At 43.7% G+C, this 20,218-nt stretch overlaps 1 protein-coding gene across 19 annotated transcripts in view; it reads right to left on the bottom strand.

The window, feature by feature from the left end:
* SLC9A8 (solute carrier family 9 member A8) overlaps positions 1-20,218 on the bottom strand; it is a 79,415-nt gene that overhangs the window by 32,995 nt on the left and 26,202 nt on the right. For 9 of the 19 annotated variants that reach the window (XM_011528736.3, XM_011528738.3, NM_001260491.2 and 6 more), the window contains exons 4-8: positions 19,649-19,707; positions 14,129-14,212; positions 9,568-9,669; positions 8,404-8,486; positions 3,667-3,810 (exon numbers count right to left, since the gene is read on the bottom strand). In XM_011528736.3, coding sequence (XP_011527038.1) covers positions 3,667-3,810; positions 8,404-8,486; positions 9,568-9,669; positions 14,129-14,212; positions 19,649-19,707 — 472 coding nt within the window. Of the gene's footprint in view, positions 1-3,666; positions 3,811-8,403; positions 8,487-9,567; positions 9,670-14,128; positions 14,213-19,648; positions 19,708-20,218 lie in introns of those variants that run through there. The other 10 variants (XM_006723756.2, NM_015266.3, XM_047440071.1 and 7 more) reach the window with 7 other exon arrangements.

Below are 20,218 nucleotides of genomic sequence, written 5' to 3'. Positions count from 1 at the left end.
GCACACAGAGGTCCCTCACCAAATGCTGATGGCAGATGACCAGCCGTGGCTGGAGAGTTTGTGAGGCTGATTCTCAAGCCAGCTTGGGTCTCAGCAGTGGCAGTGCTGCTGGTAGAGGAAGAGGCTGGAAACTATATATGCATGCTCCACAGATCCAACCGTGGCCTCAGCAGTAGCACTGCTGCTGGTGGACGAGGAGACTGGAAACTATACATGCATGCTCCACAGATCCAACTGTGGGAACTGTTACCACAGACGATCTTGGTTTCTTTTCTTTCTTTTTTTTTTTTTTGAGACAGTCTTGCTCTGTCGCTCTGGCTGGAGTGCAGTGGTGCGATCTCGGCTCACTACAACCTCCGCCTCCCAGGTTCAAGCAATCCTCCTGCCTCAGCCTCCCAAGTAGATGGGATTACAGGGACCTACCACCATGCCGGGCTAATTTTTGTATTTTTAGTAGATACAGGGTTTCACCACGTTGGCAAGGCTGGTCTCAAACTCCTGACCTCAGGTGATCCACCTGCCTTGGCCTTCCAAAGTGCTGGGATTACAGGCATGAGCCACCATGCCTGGCCCCATCTTGGGTTTCCAAAGCACTTTTCCAGTAAGAACCTCTGGCTACCAACGATGACTCCATCATTTCCCATCTTAAATAGAAAAAGTCTCCTATCTTTGGCTTTTATAATAGAGACAACTGGAAAAGCTCAGAAAAGATCCTACCTCTGAAAAATTATTTTTCTTTAAAAAAATCAAGAGACAAAGCAATTGAGTTTAGCTCCCAATGCATAAAAATAACTCATGATGTCACCTCCAAGTTAGGCAAAATTCCTTGTCACAAATGTTCAATATGTGTAGCCAGGATACGAGATAAAAGTAAAAACCAGAATGCTAGGCAGCTTTCAGAGTAGATCTTAAATAAGAAAAAATACTGCCATTGGATTTTTTAAAGGTCTTGTGGCATGATGTTGGATAATATCCTAATAAAGCTATAGAAATTTCTGCCAAGAGAAACATGAAAAAGCCAATAGTAGGAAACTGGTTAAGTAGATCATAGTAAACCCAGAAAAAGGAATACACCGTAACCAGTAAAATTATTTTCCAGAAGACTGTTTTATCAATTGTGTTCAATGGAAAATAGAGTACAATATTTGGGGTATAAGCCTATTGAAATAAAATGTATATATATTTACACCAAATTATCAACCATAATTATCTCTAGGTAGTAGCAATGTGTGTGATACTTCTCTCTTTTTTGCTTGTGTATTTCCTAAATTTGGTAAGAATATATGTACTACATTTAGAATAACAAAAATACTTATAAGTTTGGTTGTTTTTTAAGGCCTGTTGAGCACCTCTTGCCATCAGGCAGTATTTGGTAAGCTCCTCCTGCAAAGGAAGGGCAAAAACAGGGCAAAAACTGGGCAAATGTGGTGAAAACAACAACTAGGGGCAGGGAAAGAAAAGGAAAGGATGTCACATTACCCAATGCTGGATGCTTTTCTCATAGTACCCTTTTGTTTGTTTGTTTTTTTTAAAACAGAGTCTCACTCTGACGCCCGGGCTGGAATGCAGTGATGTGAGTTTGGCTCACTTCAACCTCTGTCTCCCAGGTTCAAGCGATTCTCCTGCCTCAGCCTCTCGAGTAGCTGGGATTACAGGCGTGCGCCACCACACCTGGCTAATCTTTGTATTTTTAGTAGATATGGGGTTTCACCATGTTGGCCAGGCTGGTCTTGAACTCCTGGCCTCAAGTGATCCATCCGCCTCAGCCTCCCAAAGTGATGGGATTACAGGCGTGAGCCACCGCGCCCAGCCCTGTAGTACCTTATTTAACTATTCAGTCCTCAAATCTAGTCCTAGGCTGAGGCATTTTATTCCAACATAAGAATTCTGAATATAGTCTATAAAAAAACTTCTAAGAAAATGCCAGCTACCACAGAGTGGTTATGCTTTAGCAAAGGCAGTAAGTCAGTATTCAGGTAAATGGAAATTCTATTATCTAACAGAACACACACTGGCCTCTAAGATTCTCTTAGCTCATTTTTGATACATTATCCGGGGCTCTTTTCTCCACGTGCTTTGGAGTTTTTTGCGGGAAGGTGGGAGAATGGGGTCTTGCTATGTTGTCCAGACTGGTCTCAAACATCTGTGTTTTGGCAAAAATCTTTGGGTTTGTTGCCTGCCTGTTAATGACCACCATAAAATGCAGAGTTCAAGGAAATATCCCTGCATCAGAAAAATATATTTGAGATTATCTGAAATGCATTTACTTTTCCCAGTGATTTTGTTTTGTTTTGTTTTTGAGACAGGGTCTTGCTCTGTTGCCCAGGTTGGAGTGCAATGGCTCCATCACAGCTCACTGCATCCCTAGTAGCTAGGAATACAGGCACGTGATATGACACCCAGCTAAAATTTTTTTTTTTTTTTTTTGAGACGGAGTCTCGCTCTGTCACCAGGCTGGAATCCAGTGGTGTGATCTCGGCTCACTGCAACCTCCGCCTCCCAGGTTCAAGTGATTCTCCTGCCTCAGCCTCCGGAGTAGCTGGGATTACAGGCACCCGCCACCAAGCCCAGCTAATTTTTGTATTTTCAGTAGAGACAGGGTTTCACCATGTTGGCCAGGCTGGTCTTGAACTCCTGACCTCAGGTGATCCACCCGCCTTGGCCTTCCAAAGTGCTGGGATTACAGGACTGAGCCACTGCGCCTGGCCCCCAATGACTTCTTGACATTTTATTATTCATCTTTAACTTCTCAGATCCCATCAATTAGGGTAGTAATACCAACAAATATTTGAAAACAAATTGTAGTGTCCAAAGTAGAGTTTACACAATAGCATCTTAAGGCAGGGCACCTATCAGCATTCCTACCTTATTTTAAAGCTGTGAAAAGGAAGGTGACATGCATCAGCTAGTGGGGCCTCTGTCTATTGCTTTTGTTGCCAATAATATTGCCCAAACACTGACCCCTGAACAGGCCGCTTCATCATATCTGGGGAACTTATTAAAAACCCATGGTCTTGGGACTCACCCCAGACCAAATGAATCAGAAGCTCTGAGGGTGGGGCCTAGGAATGTCACACTTAATAAGCACCCTCAGTGATGTTGACAAGCTGGGCTCAGAAACCACTACTAAAAGGCAGGTCGAAAAAGGTGGGCAAAGCCAGGAGCAATGGCTTACACCTGTAATCCCAGCACTTTGGGAGGCTGAGGTGGGCAAACTGCTTGAGCCCAGGGGTTCAAGACAAGCCTGGGCAACATGGCGAACCCCATCTCTACAAAAACTTCTTAAAAAATTAGCTGGGCGTGATGGCACGTGCCTGTAAGTCCCAGCTACTCGGGAGGCTGAGGTGGGAGATCAGTTGAACCCAGGAGGTTGAAGCTGCAGTGAGCTGTGATGGAGCCACTGCACTCCAGCTTGGGTGACAGAGCGAGACCCTGTCTCAAAAAAAAAGGTGGACTCTCCTCTTTTAACCACCCCTGGAACCTGACCATATTCTTGCAGCACATCAAGGCTTGTCAGGACAGAAATACAGAGAAAGAGAGTGGGTGAACTGATCACCCAGAGGACAAGCAACTGTACACATGCTGTGTGGAAATATCTGCCCCTTTGTTACAAGGACCTTTAGTTCTGTCACATGAAAAAAGTCTGTTCTCTGCCCCCGTACTTACTTGGTCAGAACAATGGAGACTGCATCGTTGAGAATACTTTCTCCAAAGACCAGCATGTTGAGCACGGGGTCCACATGAAGTGCATTGAAAATGGCAATAGTGGCCACTGGATCGACAGCAGATATTAGGGAGCCAAACGCAAAACTGTAAGAGACAGAGGGAAGGGGAGATTCTGTAATGTGTGTCACTTGGTCCACATATTAAAGCATTAAAGTCAAAGGCCATATTTAACAGAAAGCAATACTACACGCTAGAGCTGAATTAATTACAGAAGGTAGCGTATTTTTTCCCCACTTATCTGCTGTTTTGTGGGTGGAGTATGAAAGGCCCACTCTAAACTGAGTTGTTAGGAATGGCCTGGTTTTCTAGTGTCAGCACGGAGACTTGACTTTGACCAATGATGGAAGGGAGACTTTTGCTTAGATATATTTATCATACACCGCCCAGTTCCACGGGTCAGAGCAGCTAGAGCCAAATGGCCCATGAGCTCCTGCATCTGACCTCTGCTCTGCCCCTCGCCACCAGCCCCTTGGAATGCTGTCCGTGACCGACCCCAGCCTGCACTCAGATTTGCAAGATCTAAGAAAGTGTCAAAAAGCAGCAGCAACCCCAGTGTGCTTTGGGGGTGAGTGGCGTAGACAGCCGAGAGAAACACTGAGGCCATCTCCCAACTGGGCCAGTGACCTCACTGACAGTCCCCGTGAAGATCTTATCACCCCCAGCAGATATGTGCTGATTGTCTAACATGTTTCAGGAATGGAGGCTACCATGGCCGGCACTGTTCTAAGCACTTCACATACGGTGACTCAACAATCCAGACAGTGACTGTATGAGACTGCTACTACTGCCCCAATGACAGAGGAGAAAACCGAGGGACAACGGGATGATGAAGTAACTTGTCCAAGGTCACTCAGCTAACAAGTAGCAGAGCCAGGCTATCTGCCCAGAGTCGGTACTCCTACCCCCAACAGTAGATACAGCAATACCCAGAGATGAAGGCAAATTCAGACAATACCACATGTGACCCAGGAAATCAATTGAGGTGACGTGGGAAGGTGGGGTGGGGGTGTGGGTGTGGGAGCCACTTAGATGGGGCGGTCTGGAGAGGCCTCTGTGAAGGGATGACACATGTAAGCAAGAACCTACATGTTAAGAAGCAGCTGGCCAGGCCAAGAGCTGCAGGCTGAGGTGACAGCAAGCGACTCCTGCGGTGGGAGCAAGCCTGCTGCCTGAGGAACAGAAGGAAGGTGCATGTGGTGGTGGGGGTGGGGTGAGTGGCAGGAGCCATAAGAGGCTGGCGAGGGAGGCAGGACCAGCTCCCTCAAGGGGCCTCATGTGCCACATGAGCCTGGACAATTCACTCTCCCTGCCCTTTGGTGATTTTCCCACAAGCCTCTGTGCCATGCCTGTTGCAACTTTCTTTCCAGGGCAGCAGAATGGTGGGTCTGCCCCCTTCCACAACACCAGCCAAAACATGGAGACCCAATGGCCAGCCTGTGTCAGTCATCAGCCAGAGACGACTGCCCTGAGCTTCCCACCCTCACCAAGCCTGGGTCTAGGGGGAAAAGGATGCTCGGCTGAGCAGCCTTCAATGGGTGATCTTTTGGCTGCAGGGTCAGGGAGAGGAGAGCTGACTGAGGAAATGCCTGGCTGCCTTGCCAGGTACAGTTCTCTTCAGAAGTCAATCATCTGGCCTCTGGTTTCCATGGTAGCTGCCTGTGAATGTGACTCATGCGCATTAACCCAGAGTGCCTCCGGATCCCAGGCTGAGGATTCAGTTCCCAGACTTCGCCTGTCCTCACAGAGGTCATCACAGGCCTGTGAGCTCCAAGGGAGTGGATGCTGAATTTTCGTCATGGGTGAATTCCCAGGGTCTGTACTGGGCATGGCCCAGAGACACTTGCAGAAGGCAAGCAGGCAGGCAGGTGGGAAGAAGAAAGGGAAGGAAGAAAGGGAAGGTAACTCCACTAAACAACTGCCCATCTGGGAGATCCTATTTTATTGGTGGCTGGTCCCCAGGCCCTTGCACCACAACCCAGACAGAGCTTCTGGTCGCTCTTTTATTTTCACTCTCATCAACCACAGCCCCATCACCAGAGGCCGTGAAGGAAGGAGGATGATGTCTAAAAAGTGTATCCTGGGCCGGGCACAGTGGCTCACGCCTGTAATCCCAACACTTTAGGAGGCTGAGGTGGGAGGATGGCTTGAGCTCAGGAGTTCAGGACCAGCCTGGGCAATATAGAGAGAACCCTATCTCTACACACACAAAAATTAGCCGGAAGTGGTGCCGCATACCTGTAGTCCGAGCTACTCAGGAGGCTGAGGCAGGAGGACAGCTTGAGCTCAGGAGTTTGAGGCTACAGCGAGCTGTGATCATGCCACTATACTCCAGCCTCAGTGAAGCGCAGGCCCACCACAGGCTCCCAAGTTCCCTGTCCTGTGCCTCTCCTACCCCTGCAGGATACACCTTTTATATTTTAAAAATTTGTTTATGGGTATTCACTTCACAATGCTTCACCTTTTCTGTATGTTTAAAATTTTTCATAATAAAAGGTTGGGGCAACGTCCATCTTACATAAGTTGACTGATGTCTCATGTGTCCCTAAAATGTATAAAACCAAACTGTGCTCTGATCATCTTGGGTACATGTCGTCAGGACCTCCTGAGGCTGTCACGGGTGCGCATGCTCAACCTTGGCAAAATAAACTTTCTAAATTAACTGAAAAAAACAAAACAAACAAAAGGCTGGGGGAAATGCTTTGTATAAATCATGTTACACAGTTTGCTTGGGAATCTAAATTGAGGCAGAGTATTTCTGACAGTGAAGATGAGAAGTCTGAAATACAAACTGCTGAATCATTGAGAGGTCTGTATGGAAAGACGGTTATTTCACCTGGCTGTCAGCTGTTCCACTTCACATCTTTAAGACCTCGCCTTTTAAACGCCAGAAGTTCAACTTAAAAATGTATTTTCTTTATCCCATAGCCCCAAAAGATAGCAACATTAACAAAATGAAAAAGAAATGAACTAAGGCAGCGAAATAATTCAGGATCTCTAAGAGTGAAATCTCTCTCCAACAAGATATCACTAGAACAAAACAAAACGTGTGCAACGAAGTTATTTTTATGTTTTCTACAGTGCAGAGGTTGCAAAAAGTCTGTGGTCCCCTCTCATGTTTGGTCTGCATGGTATTTGTGAAAAATTGAGCAAGTTGTCAACATTGAAAAACTGGAAAATTCCCTATAAAAATCTAGAAACCCAGCATCTTTTTGAAAAAAAAGTATTTAAAATAGCCACCAATTCTGGGCCCAGATTTCCACATGGTAATCATGAGTTGGCGCTGAGAAGTGGCTGTCCCTTCATACAGGGTGTGTTCTCCCACTGGCCGCTGCCCCATGTCTAGACTCACAGCTGGCCAGCTTCCCTCTGTTAAGTGCTCTGCCAGGCCCTGCGGCTGTGTGGGTTTGCGACCCCAGAGCAGTCCCCATCTGAGGGATCGTCACTTTCTAACAGCAAAGGAAACTTCTGCACACGGAGAGGAAAACACTACCCGGCTCTAAGTCAGTGTGTCTACAGGGCAATTCCTTTCCTGTCCTCCACCTGAACATCCCAACCACTGATTCAATTCAACTTCACAGGAAGTTATCCAGCATTGTCTGTATCTCTAACCAGTTGCCCCCAAAACAAGTGGAAGGTTTGAATACTGTGATACCTTCCTTTACTGGGCATTTCTTTTTATTTGCAAAATACCTACCAAACACAGGACATCAGTTCTGCTTTATTTCCAGCTCTCATGGAATAGGACTACTTGTTTATGTATCAAAACTGTCTTACAACAAAAGCTCCAAAATTGTCCTGGGCTGGGGTGGGTGGTGAGTGGAGGTAGAAATAGAATTGGATTTGTTATCAGAGACACAGTTCCCATGAAAAGGGTTCCCAGATTCTAGTCCCAAGTTGCTAAACTGCTGCTAAATCCTGAAAGCTCTGACTGGCCCCATGGCAAGGATCTGGGGACGAACATGTGACCCTGCTGCCCAGCTCCCCAGCCATGTCACAAGACCAAATGCAGACACACTGAGCAAGGCTGTCTGCTCTCAGAGGGGGGAACCCAGACTATGCTCAGCATGGGCACTTTTTCAGCACTAGATCTGGTACCTTCTGAGAGACAACTGCCTCAACCTAGTGAGGTTGCTTCTCACTATGCAATTCTGGGAAATCCTGGATGGGGCTCATGGGAAGTGCTCACGGGAGTGGCTTCAGATGGAGGGGCTTTCTACAATAACCACAATAGAGGTCTTGGCCCTGCTTCCCCCACCACAGGCTTCGTGGGAATCCCAGAGGAAAGTTTCTCCGTCACTCCCCCTCTCCATCTCTAATCTGTCAAGAAGACTTTTTGTTACGGCGACTGAAAAGTCTTGTAAATAAGAAGACAATGGTACAGTGTACGCGTGCACACAGGCAGGGCAGTTAGCTGAGCAGAGTTACTCCCTCCCAAGCTTAAACTAAATCATTCCAATCAGCAATGCCCCACTAGGGATCTTCAAAAGTCTTTAGGATACTTTTGATTCATTTCAGAGATACAAATTAACTCAGAGTAAGATTCTATGGCAGAAATCCTTACCAAAAATAAATACACAGAGAGAGAATAGAACAGTACCACACCCAGGAAGCAATGTGGAGAAACATTTCCCCTGTCTGAAAAGCAGTCGCATGGGTGTTACAGTATGAAGGATTTACCTGTCTGTCATGTTGAGTTTAGAGATTACATCAGCCTGTAAAATAAAACACACAAACACACAGACACACACAAAAAAAAAACCCTGGAGAACAGCCAAGATTTAAATGTCCATTAGTGCTTTATTAAAACTAATAAGGACATTAATCTTCAGTTCCCAAACCACTTGAAAAATAAAAGCTCCTAAGCCTTAGTTGAAACATGCATTCCATCGGCATGCAACGAGAGTATGGAAAAGAATGCTACATTCTTCAAGCCCAATTAACTGTAGTTTCCTTAAGTTTATTCTTACTTAATACTAGAAGCTGAGCAATGAAGAAAGCTGCATGACAGACAGATTTATTCTGGTGCCATCAAAGCTGCAATATAGGTGAAAATCCAATGGAATGGGCTTTGGCTATTGAGAGAAGAAAGCAGCTGATGTGTTAAAGAAATCTGCCCGTCACTCAGATACCTGACCCTCAACTTAATTTTCAGAACTGAGACAGGCAAACTTTCTGCAACTGACAATAAAGGAAAAGAATGTGACATGCATGGACATGCATAATACAAAACTACAGATACTACCTTCCTAGGGATGTTTGGTCTAAATTAATTTGAAGTCTAAAGTAGAGACCACCCAACTGGTGCCACTGGGAAGTGGTTTAGCAATTGTGGAAAATCCAGAGTATATAATTCTACAGGTAGACAGCTTAGAATTGAGTGAAGAGATTCAGCATCACCTTTGATTTTATTATTTCTCCAATGCCAGCAGAAAAGCACATCTTTGATTTTTTAAATACAAATTTTTATCAAAAAACAGCATTCAACCCCAATTCAGTCTACTTGACAACACAGTTTGAAGTTCTTGATGGCATATATTTGGCTTCATTTTTAGGTATTCTAATTTAAGACAGTATTGGTTTGCAAATAAACTCAAATACTTTGGGGGGGATTATGGAAAAGTTTTACTCAATTCCAGATACCAAAGGTCTTGGAGGACACTTTGAAACAATTTAGCACGCCTCTACTGTGCCTCATATGAAGCTAGGATTTCCTTCCAGAAGGAATTTACCTTAAGGGTGAAACCCAGGCCCCACAAAGTGGCCCCATTTCACCTTCCCACCTCCCTGCACTAGCTCTAAGAATGTAAGACTTTCAAAGTGTTTCAAAGATGATTTTCTTACCTGACCCAGAAAATAAATTCCTCCACCTACTACAAAAGCGGAGATTGCCGTCCCAAAAACAGCAAACAGGGTGATGGAACCAATATTTTGAAAGAAGTTACCCTGTTTGAAAGAGCAGAAATCAGGGAAATGATTAGAAAAGCCATTCCTGTCAGTGAAGGCACGGCCTGCACACCTGGCCCTCCGTGCAGACTTGATTCTCTGTAAAAGGCACCACTGCCCAACCTGTGTGGCAAGCTGGGAGCCCGGGAGTCTTCCTGCACCCCCGCACTTACTGCAGTGTCCCGTCACTCACACCATCTTTCATCTGAAACACTGCATAGCTTCGCACAAGTCTCCTCAACCCCCCAGGGCCCCTTTCCCTCCACTCTCCCGTCTTTCCAGAATGATCTTCCCAAAAGACAAATCTGATTGTGCTGCCTTCACCTGGACCCCTATTTCCACTTAAAATGCAGCTAGCCCCCACCCTGAATGATTCGACTCCTGGGGAGGCCTCTGGGCTCATCTGGCACCATGCTCGCCTTTGTTCTCTGGGTTCCAGTCCCACTGGTGGCTTCGAGCAGGTTGTGCTCCCTCTTTGCTTGTTAAGCTTTCATCATCCCAAGATCTCAGGACATTTCAACTCTTCCCAGATCCTAGTCTGTGCTCTCAGTGCACAGTCACCCTCTCTTGTAGCGGTTGACAAGACTGCAATTTTGCACTTATTTATGTACTGATGTCTTACTTTCCCATGAGGCTGCAGGCTCATTCTGGGCAATGACCCCACCTGCTTTCGCACAACACGGTCCCTGACATAATGCCCGTCAGATGGAAGATGCCCAACAGACAGGCACTGAAGGAATTAACTGTGTTTCACATCCAAAGTCCACACTATTAGGATACCAAGATACACTATCAGATATTCCTTTTTCCTGGCCAGGTCTTTTAAACAATTTTACTTCACTCTATTAGTATCATCATTAACTATGTCAGATAAAATGTTTCTATCTATACTTCACAGCGTTTAAGATAAAATATTCAAGTTCAAGCAGCATGGTAGCATCTTTCAAATTTCCATAAAATTAAGGAAATTAAGCTATTTATTATAACCCTATGAACTCCACTTAGGAGCTACCAAGAGTCTTTGATCACCCCCGATTGTGGTTGTGAACAAGAATCTTGTTTTTAGCTCAGAAATCACCAAACCATGGACATCAAGACCTGCTATTTTAAAGCCCACTTGTGAAAGAGTGTCCTCAGCTGAACACTGACTGCCCCACTAAGCCCACCTCCTAGAAGCTGCAATTTTGACTTGGCTGCCTATCATCTGACATTCAATTCCTTTGTTTGGCATATCAATCTTTACTGCACAAAGAATTTTAAAACACAATGATTTGGTTTTTCAAAACAAAGGGCTTTCAATCTATGAGTTGCTCTTTGCAAATCGCTGTTTTCTTTTGTTATTTAAAAACAGATTAGACTGGGCTCGGTGGCTCAAACCTGTAATCCCAGCACTTTGGGAGGCCAAGGCGGGTGGATCATCTAAGGTCAGGAGTTCGAGACCAACCTGACCAACATGGAGAAACCCCATCTCTGCTAAAAATACAAAATTAGCTGGTGTGGTTATAGACGCCTGTAATCCCAGCTACTCGGGAGGCTGAGGCAGGAGAATCGCTTGAACCCAGGGGGCCGAGGTTGCAGTGAGCCGAGTTCGCAGTGAGCCGAGTTCGTGCCATTGCACTCCAGCCTGGGCAACAAGAGCAAAACTCCATCTCAAAAAAAAAAAAAAAAAAACAGATTAATCAGTTTTGACCTGTTTGCAGAGATCTAATGTTGATATAATTTATATATTTGGTTAATATTAATCTGGATCCTGAACATTTACCCAAGTTAAAGTTACCATAATACAAGAACTTCCCTCTGCTACATAAAGCAAATTTATCTGTTTCTCTCTGACATAATTAACATCCTGTGATTTGTGTAATATTTGCAATTCAAAGAACCAGTTGCTGCCTAGCTAATGCATATCAACTGATGATAATCTTACTGTAATCTGTATTCTAAATCCAAATTTACATTAGCAGATATCATAATATTAAAATAAAATATTCAAACTTTACTTCCTATCATCTTTGGGCGAGGGTAGAAAGTGGATAGAAGTTTCAGAAGTAGCATTTCATAATCCTATCAGTCCCTTTCATATAAATTGTCACATTTCCTGCTGGAAAGTCATCTTCAACAAAATGTTTCTCTAAAAAACTATTACTTTCCTCAAATTTTGAACAAGTTTCTCTCCCCTCTAAAAAAAAAAAAAAAAAAGAAAAGAAAAACTTTACATGCTCTAATATTCAAAATGTCATGTTTTTAAGTCAAAATCAAGTCAATTTCCTCAGCATGTTTTGAAATATTTTCATATCTGCTTACAGTTAAGATTTGTTTACAAAGTGAAAGGAAAGACATGGTGACCTTCAACTTATGTTTCCTTGTTAAAAATTATCTGATGTCACTAACAGTTTGTAAGACTTGTGAATATTTTTTACATTAAATTTCCTTTTCACTTTTTCTTTGGATAGATGCACAATAAAATAATAACTTAAAAAAAAATCTGGGCTGAACATCTTAATATGCTTTTGTTTTAGTACAGGAAAATTAAAGACTTAATTTCTATGTTTTTACCAAACATTTCTAGACAAATCTAACTCATTTTTTAAAATTATGTATTTATTTATTTTATACCATGTCAACAACAAATTAAGTTTATTTTTATTTATTTATTTTTGAGACAAAGTCTCCCTCTATCACTCAGGCTGGAGTGCAGTGGCGTGATCTCAGCTCACTGCAAGCTCCACCTCCCGAGTTCAAGCTATTCTCATGATTCTCATGCTTCAGCCTCCAGAGTAGCTGGGATTACAGGCACGCACCACCACGACCAGCTAATTTTTGTATGTTTAGTAGAGATGGGGTTTCACCATGTTGGCCAGACTGGTCTTGAACTCCTGGCCTCAAGTGATCCACCCACCTCGGCCTCTCAAAGTGCTGGGATTATAGGCATGAGCCACTGGGCCCGACCATATTAAGCTTAATAAATTATTATTACTACTGGTGGTAATATTGTTATTAATAATAAATGACATTTTTATCATTAATAACAAGCAGCAGCACTTCATTTATTTAGTGTGGTGGGTGGTGCTTTGCCTACGTTCTTTCATCTAGTGTGACTCTCAAAGCACCCTGGGAGGTAGGGTTTTGGGGTTTTTGGTTTCTACTTTACCAAAAAGAAACCTGTAGGGGGCAGCGCATGATTAGATCTGTGTTGTGTCTCTGGCTTTCCTCTCTCCAAGGACTGGCCTAAACTTTCCAATCTTCACAGTTTTTTTAAAAATCACATTCACAAAATAGCTGCTGTATTATTAATACTAGTATTTTAAGTTGAATCACTTTATTTTAAAACTTAAATACATTTATGTTTAAAGAAAACTCACAGACAAGGAAAAAACCATGCACGCACACAAGCAGGCTTAAAAGTGAGAAGCTCCTGCTCAGGCAGAAAGACTCACACTAGGGGACGAGTGTGGTGGCTCATGCCTGTAACCCCAGCACTTTGGGAAGCCAAGGTGGGTGGATCACTTGAGGTCAGGAGTTCGAGACCAGCCTGGCCAACATGGTAAAACCCCGTCCGTCTCTACTAAAACGACAAAAATTAGCCGGGCAAGGTGGCGTGTGCCTGTAATCCCAGCTACTCAGGAGGCTGAGGCAGAAGAATCACTTGAACCCACAAGGTGGAGGTTGCAGTGAGCCGAGATCATGCCACAGGACTCCAGCCTGGGTGACAGAGTGAGACTCCATCTCAAAAAAAACAAAACAAAAAAAAAAACATCTCACACTGGGAGTTGCAAGGCAATGGCCGTCAAGGCCAAGCCAAAGCAGAGAAGTGGGTAGGGGCCAGTGCCACTGCTCACCAAGGCAGGGAGGAAAGAATGGGCAGGCAACTGTGGGACTAGGCAGGGAAGGATGGGGCTCCAGCCTGGGAAGGAGAAGCTGGACCAGGGAGTGGGCGAGGAGCGATAGAGGTTGAGGGATGAAGGGGAATATCAAGCTGGGGTCTGAGGCCAGGGGAGGGCACCGAGAGGGAGACATGGAAGGATGGATGGGCCTGAGAAGGTTAGAAAGGCCCCAGTGGGGGAGCTGAAAGAAACAAAAGTCCTGGGGCACATGTCCCCGTCGTCCCAGGACACAGTCTATCCTCTTTACATCTATCAGTCTGTGTCCAGGAAGACGAGTCAATGCATCATCTGTGAGCCACTTAACATCACTTCAGCCATCTTCCTGGGCAAAGCACCCATTTATGGCAAACACTGGCTCAGTGAGCCATACTGCCTGAAACCATTAAAGCAGCCAATTCATCATGTCTGCTCCTCTCCAGAAGTCAGGCACTGCAGTCCAGCTTCCACTGAGCACAACCAGGAAGGAGCAGAGCTGCTGCTGCTGCTGCTGCTAAATTATACCCAAGCTTTTAAGGAACTTGCCTTACAAACATGAGAAACTGTCCAGACCAAAGCACCAATGTGTGCCTGAGTCTCACCTTGTGTAATGAATATCCAGACTCAAAGATAATAGGGGGAAGCAGGAGGAGGAAAAACATGTTTGGACGAAACATTTCTTCTTCCTGTAAATAGAAAATGAGTATCTTAAGGGCATGGAATTTGTGTAATTAAGAAATAAATTAATCAATAAAGAGCCAAAATAATTATTCTCTCAGGGCCTGGCCTAGTGGAAACATATAATGTTTAAATAACTACCTGATAATAAAATCAAGCAGAATGAGAGATTCCCCCACCAAAAAAAAAAATGAAACTGTATTTTATTATTTTTATCATTATTATTATTATTATTATTTTGAGACAGAGTCTTTCTTGCTCTGTTGTCCAGGCTGAAGTGCAGTGGTGCAATCACAGCTCCCTGTAGCCTCAACCTCCTGGGCTCAAGTGATCCTCTCACTTCAGCCTCCTGAGTAGCTGGGACTACATGTGCGTGCTACCATGCCGGGCTAATTTTTTTTTTTTTTTTTTTTTTTTTTTTTTTAAGATACAGGGTCCCGCTATGTTGCCCAGGCTGGTCTCAAACTCCTAGCCTCAAGCAATCCTCCCACCTCAGCTTCCCCAAATGCTGGGATTACAGGCATGAGCCACCATGCGTGGCCAAGACAAGGATTTTAAAGGTGATCAGTGAAAAGAAACAGCACAACACAGTAGTATGTTTTTTATTCCTTAGTACAGAAAGAAAATTAATCTGAATACAGAAAATTTCAATTCTGGTTGCAGACTTTCAAAAACAACTCCACAAATTGGAATCCTCCAGGAAAAAGGTAATGGCAAGCCCTAAAACAATCCACTCAGAGGAACAGTAAATCCTATATATGGTTAAAATAGCTCTGCCTTCTTTCTGCTTATCACAGACAACTCTGCCATTTTCCAAAGTCTGATGTGATAAAACAGTCCACACTGGATGCTCTTTCGACTTGAGACTTTGATACAAAGACAGCCCCTTACCATGTGTCTTGCTATAAAAGAATACCTGAGGCTGGGTAATTTACAAAGGAAAAACATTTATTTGGCTCATGATTCTGCTGTCCGGAAAAGTTCAAGACTGGGTATCTGATAAGAACCTTAGGCTGCTTCCACTCATGGGGGAAGAGAAGGGGAGCCAGAGTGTGCAGAGATCCATGGCAAGAGAGGAAGAAAGGGGGGGCGGGGATGGGACCAGGCTGTTTTTAACAACCAGCTGTATAGGGAACGAACAGAGCAACAACTCATTCACCTCCCTCCCCCAGCAAGGGCATCAGTCTATCCATGAGGGTCCACCCCCATGACCCAAACACTTCCAACACTGGAATCAAATTTCAGCATGAGGTTTGGGGAGACAAATGCCCAAACCATAGCACCATGCTTCCAGATTTGATTATTAAGTGCCACTACGAAAGGTGTTTCTAGAATATAGCCATCTTTGGAGGGGTGAAACAATAACAATTTCATTTTCTATATTATTAATATATCTCTCTAGTTGTTGGTAGAATTTTGGGGAAATATATATTGGTCCTCAAGCCCAAAATGGTTATGTGTAATACACAGTCTATTTAAAAATGCAAAATCAGGCCCTTTTTCATATGAATATTTTCCCATGTCACAATTTTGACAGTCTGATTTTTTGTCAAAATGCCTATTCCAAAGAATGCCTAAATGTATTCTTACAAATGTACAGCTGTTACCATAAAGACTAAAAGAAAGTCAAAAAACGCTCAAAATAGAAGCAAATGATGACTTCTGAAATGCCTTATTAAGTCTTAAAATAGCAGCATGTACAACAAGCTCAAGCTCATGATTCAGACTGGGACTGTGTGAAAAAAAATGAGCCGAGCTCTGTGTTTTACGGGGCAACCTATTCTCAGGATCTGTGCAGCAGGACCACTATATACAGCCTTTTGGAGGTATAAAAACTAGCCCCCCCCACCCCAGGAAAAAGGAGAATCTACCTATAGTGGGGTTATATAGTGTCCCCCAACCCCAATCACAATTCATGGCCACCAGGAACCTCAGAGTGTGACCTTATTTGGAAATAGGGTCTCTGAAGATCTAATGAAGGTAAGGATCTAGATGACCTTACACTGGATAAGGGAAGGCCAAAGGCAGCAAACATCGACTTGTAAGAGACAGAACAAGGCACATAGACACGTGGAGAAGAATGCCATGTGAGCACAGAGACAAAGACAGGAGTGATGCGGCCACAAGCCAAGGAAAACCGGGGCCACCAGAAGCTGGAAGATGCAATGAAGAATTCTTTTCTAGAGTCTTTGGGAGGGAACCTGGTCCTGTTGATACCTTGACTTCTCACTTCTGGCCTCCAGAATTGTGAGAAAACAAATCTCTGTTGTTTTAGGCCACTTAGTTTGTGATAATTTGTTACTGCAGCCCTTATGAACACACTGCCTTTCAGGGAAATAGTGTTACAGTTCCTTTTGGCAATGGCTCCCCCAAAATGTTCTGAGGTGATTTTAGGTGGCACTTGAGCAGTGTGTGTCAAATACCACTGACCTCATGGATTGAGAGAGTCAGCCCCTTTTGATTATTTCTTCAGGCCCAAATAAATCCAAGACACCTTAGGATGGCAATACCGCTTCTAAGGGCTCTCTCCAACGTGCTGATCTCCCTTGACAGAGAGCAGACTTGACCTCTGATGCTTCAGCAGGCATCTGTACTACTTCATTTTTATCATGTTTACAAAACAATATTAGTTTCTGAATTGAAATAGTACTGTAATGTTGCCTTGAAAATAAACATGGCCAGGCGTGGTGGCTCATGCCTGTAATCCCAGCACTTTGGGAGGCCAAGGTGGATGGATCATGAGGTCAGGAGCTCGAGACCAGCCTGGCCAATTTGGTGAAACCCCATCTCTACTAAAAATACAAAAATTAGCCGGGCGTGGTGGCAGGCACCTGTAATTCTAGCTACTCAGGAGGTTGAGGCAGGAGAACTGCTTGAACCTGGGAGGCGGAGGTTGCAGTGAGCTGAGACCACGCCATTGCACTCCAGCCTGGATAACATAGTGAGACTCTGCTCCCCACCACTCCCCAGCAAAAAAAAAAAAATAAAATAAAATAAAATAAATATATAGGCCACGTGGCTCAATCCTGTAATCCTAACACTTTGGAAGGCCAAGGTGGGAGGATCACTTGAGCCCAGGAGCTCGAGAACAGCCTGGGTAGCATAGTGACATCGTGTCTCTACAAAAAATTTTTTTAAAAATTAGCCACACCCAGGCGCAGTGGCTCACACCTGTACTCCCAGCACTTTGGGAGGACAAGGTGGGTGGATTACTTGAGGTCAGGAGTTCGAGACCAGCCTGGCTAACATGGTGAGACCCTGTCTCTACTAAAAATACAAAAATTAGCTGGGCATGGTGGCACATGCCTGTTCTCCTGCCCAGCTACTCAGGAGGCTGAGACAGGAGAATCACTTGAACCCGGGAGGCAGAGGTTGCAGTGAGCCGAGATCGTGCCACTGCACTCTAGCCCGGACAACCAAGAGAGACTCTGTCTCAAAAAAAGAAAATAAGAAATAAATAAATAATTTATATATATATACATATAATTAAAAAGCAAGTTGATAGAAAAATATTAAGCACATGATAATACAGGTTGCTACCTGGGCAGACCCAGCAGGTCAGTTTGGAATCAGAACTTCAGGGAAAGAAACCACCAGCTCCTCTTGTTTTTCTGACTTCCCACTGCTCCCTGCACATCTGGTTTCCAGGCAGGAATCCTACTTCTCACTCTGACTCTCCACAAATGCAGTCTCCTCCAGGAAGCCTGCCCCAACTTTTTTTTTTTTTTTTTTAGAGACAGGGTCTTGCTCTGTTGCCCAGGCTGGACTGCAGTGGTGCAATTATAACTCACTGCAGCCTCAAGCGATCCTCCTGGGCTCAAGCGATCCTCCTGCCTCAGCCTCCCAAGTAGCTGGGACTACAGGTGCGTGCCACCACGTCCAGCTACTTTTTCGTATTTTTAGAAGAGATGAGGTTTCACCATGTTGGCCAGGCTGGTCTCAAACTCCTGACCTCAGATGATCCACGTGACTCAGCCTCTCAAAATTCTGGGATTACAGGCATGAGCCACCGCACCCGCCCAAAATCTAACAATTTTTAATTGTTTTAAAGTCAATTCAAATTTTGATCTTTTTTTTTTTTTGTATTTTTTTAGAGACGGAGTTTCACCATGTTGCCCAGGCTGGTCTCGAGCTCCTGAGCTCAGGTGATCCACCCACCTTGGCCTCTCAAAATGCTGGGATTACAGGCATGAGCCGCCAACGCCCAGCCTTGATCAAATGATTTTTAAATCAGATCAAACAAAATGGGTTAGTGGGCAAAATCTACACATCAGGCTATATCCAGCCTAGGAGTAGAAAAAGGCTCTTCAGTCATGACCCACTCTTGGGTGGTTAAATGTAACCAAGTAGCAGGAAGGCAGAGATCCCACATGCAATGCGCTCCAGTGGGGCCTCCCCAGCAGAAGTGTGTCTTATCACTCTCCAGAGCTCAATATACATTTTCAAAATTTATTTAATATATAAAATATTTCATTACTACTATTTATAACAGCTTCAAATTGTGTTTTACGTTAGTCTATAAGGTTTGTCTTGCTAATTTTACACTCTACAGTTTCACAGGTCAATTAATCCTAGCACCTAGGAGCTTCATCAAAGTAGGAAGGGCTTAAATGTGATCAATTTTAGCCATATAATTCTTTATATTTTGAAATGAATCTTATTTCCCTCCACAAAATCAATTTTGTAGCATACTTGTTAATCTCGCCCTACTCAACATGGATGCTCAAGTTTATGTTGAAATTCCAGTTTCAATGAGTACTTGCACCCCAGGATGATGTTCATATTCTAATAACCTCTTTAACACAAGGGTATATATATCAGCAAACTGAGGACGGGGTGGTATGGTGGAGAAAACACTGCATATTCAGGCCAGAGGGTTTGGACACAAGACTCCACTCGGCCACTTTCTTTCTAGCTCTGTGACACTGAATACATCCCAATCTCCCTGAGTGTCACTTTTTTCATCTGTAAAAACGAGGTGATGATATTACAATACCCAGACAATCCACCTCACATGACTGTCATGAGAATAACATGAGCTACAATATATAAAGTACTGTGTCTCACAGTACTGGACAAGTATGTTTTATTATCCTCAGTTGTCAAAATGGAATTGGGAGCAATAAACAGTATTTAATGTTTAATGCTAATTAGAGAATTTTCCTGCCTAAAAAAGTAGGTTAGTCTAGGATTACAAAAATGCAAGTATAATAACAAAAAAAAATGACATTGGCGCCCATGTTCACTTGAAACAGCATGAGACTTATGCTTTTGCAAAAACTCAGATGTAAAGGCATCAACCTGTATCTAATAAAAAAATTAAAAAGTAATGGGATATATAACATAATAATATAAATAACTCCACTGATAGCCAAGTAATTACAAAAAAGCCAGCATAATGATCAATGTTACTAAAATTAAGAACAACCAAAGGGCAAACCTACCTTCCAATTCGCCAGTTTTTTAAACTCTATAATTTTTATAACTGCTCCCATGAGAATACCTACAAGAGAAAATGTAAACTTTAACATAAATTTAAGATATGAGAAAGATTACTCAAATTTAAGACATGACACAGCCTCAGGAGGTCCTGACGACATGTGCCCAAGGTGGTTGGGGCACAGCTTCGTTTTGTACATTTTAGGGAGACGTGAGACATCTATCACATGAATTTCTCACTCACATCTCAGGCAAACACACTAAAATGAAATACAAAAGTCAGGCTGTGGGGGAGGAAAAGTATTTTAAAGCAAGACCCAAGGACACTCTGCCTGGTGAAGATTTACCGCCTATCATTTTTACCATATCCACCCATTTTCAATGTGAAATGCAGAGTTTACAAGCTAAGTTTGCCGTGTACTGTTTATTTCCATCATTTTCAAAAAAGAATCCATGATCACTTTCTCAGACTCAAATAGCAGTTCCATGTTGAATATTTAGCTAGAAAAACACAAATGCTGAAAATAACCTAAAGTAAAAGTTCTGTGAAATTCCTGGAAGAAAACAGACCATCT

The sequence above is a fragment of the Homo sapiens genome, chromosome 20, assembly GCF_000001405.40.
Source record: "Homo sapiens chromosome 20, GRCh38.p14 Primary Assembly".
Classification (NCBI taxonomy): Eukaryota; Metazoa; Chordata; class Mammalia; order Primates; family Hominidae; genus Homo; species Homo sapiens.
The sequence above is the reverse complement of the archived record's forward strand: the minus strand, read 5'-3'. Positions and strand labels throughout refer to the sequence as shown.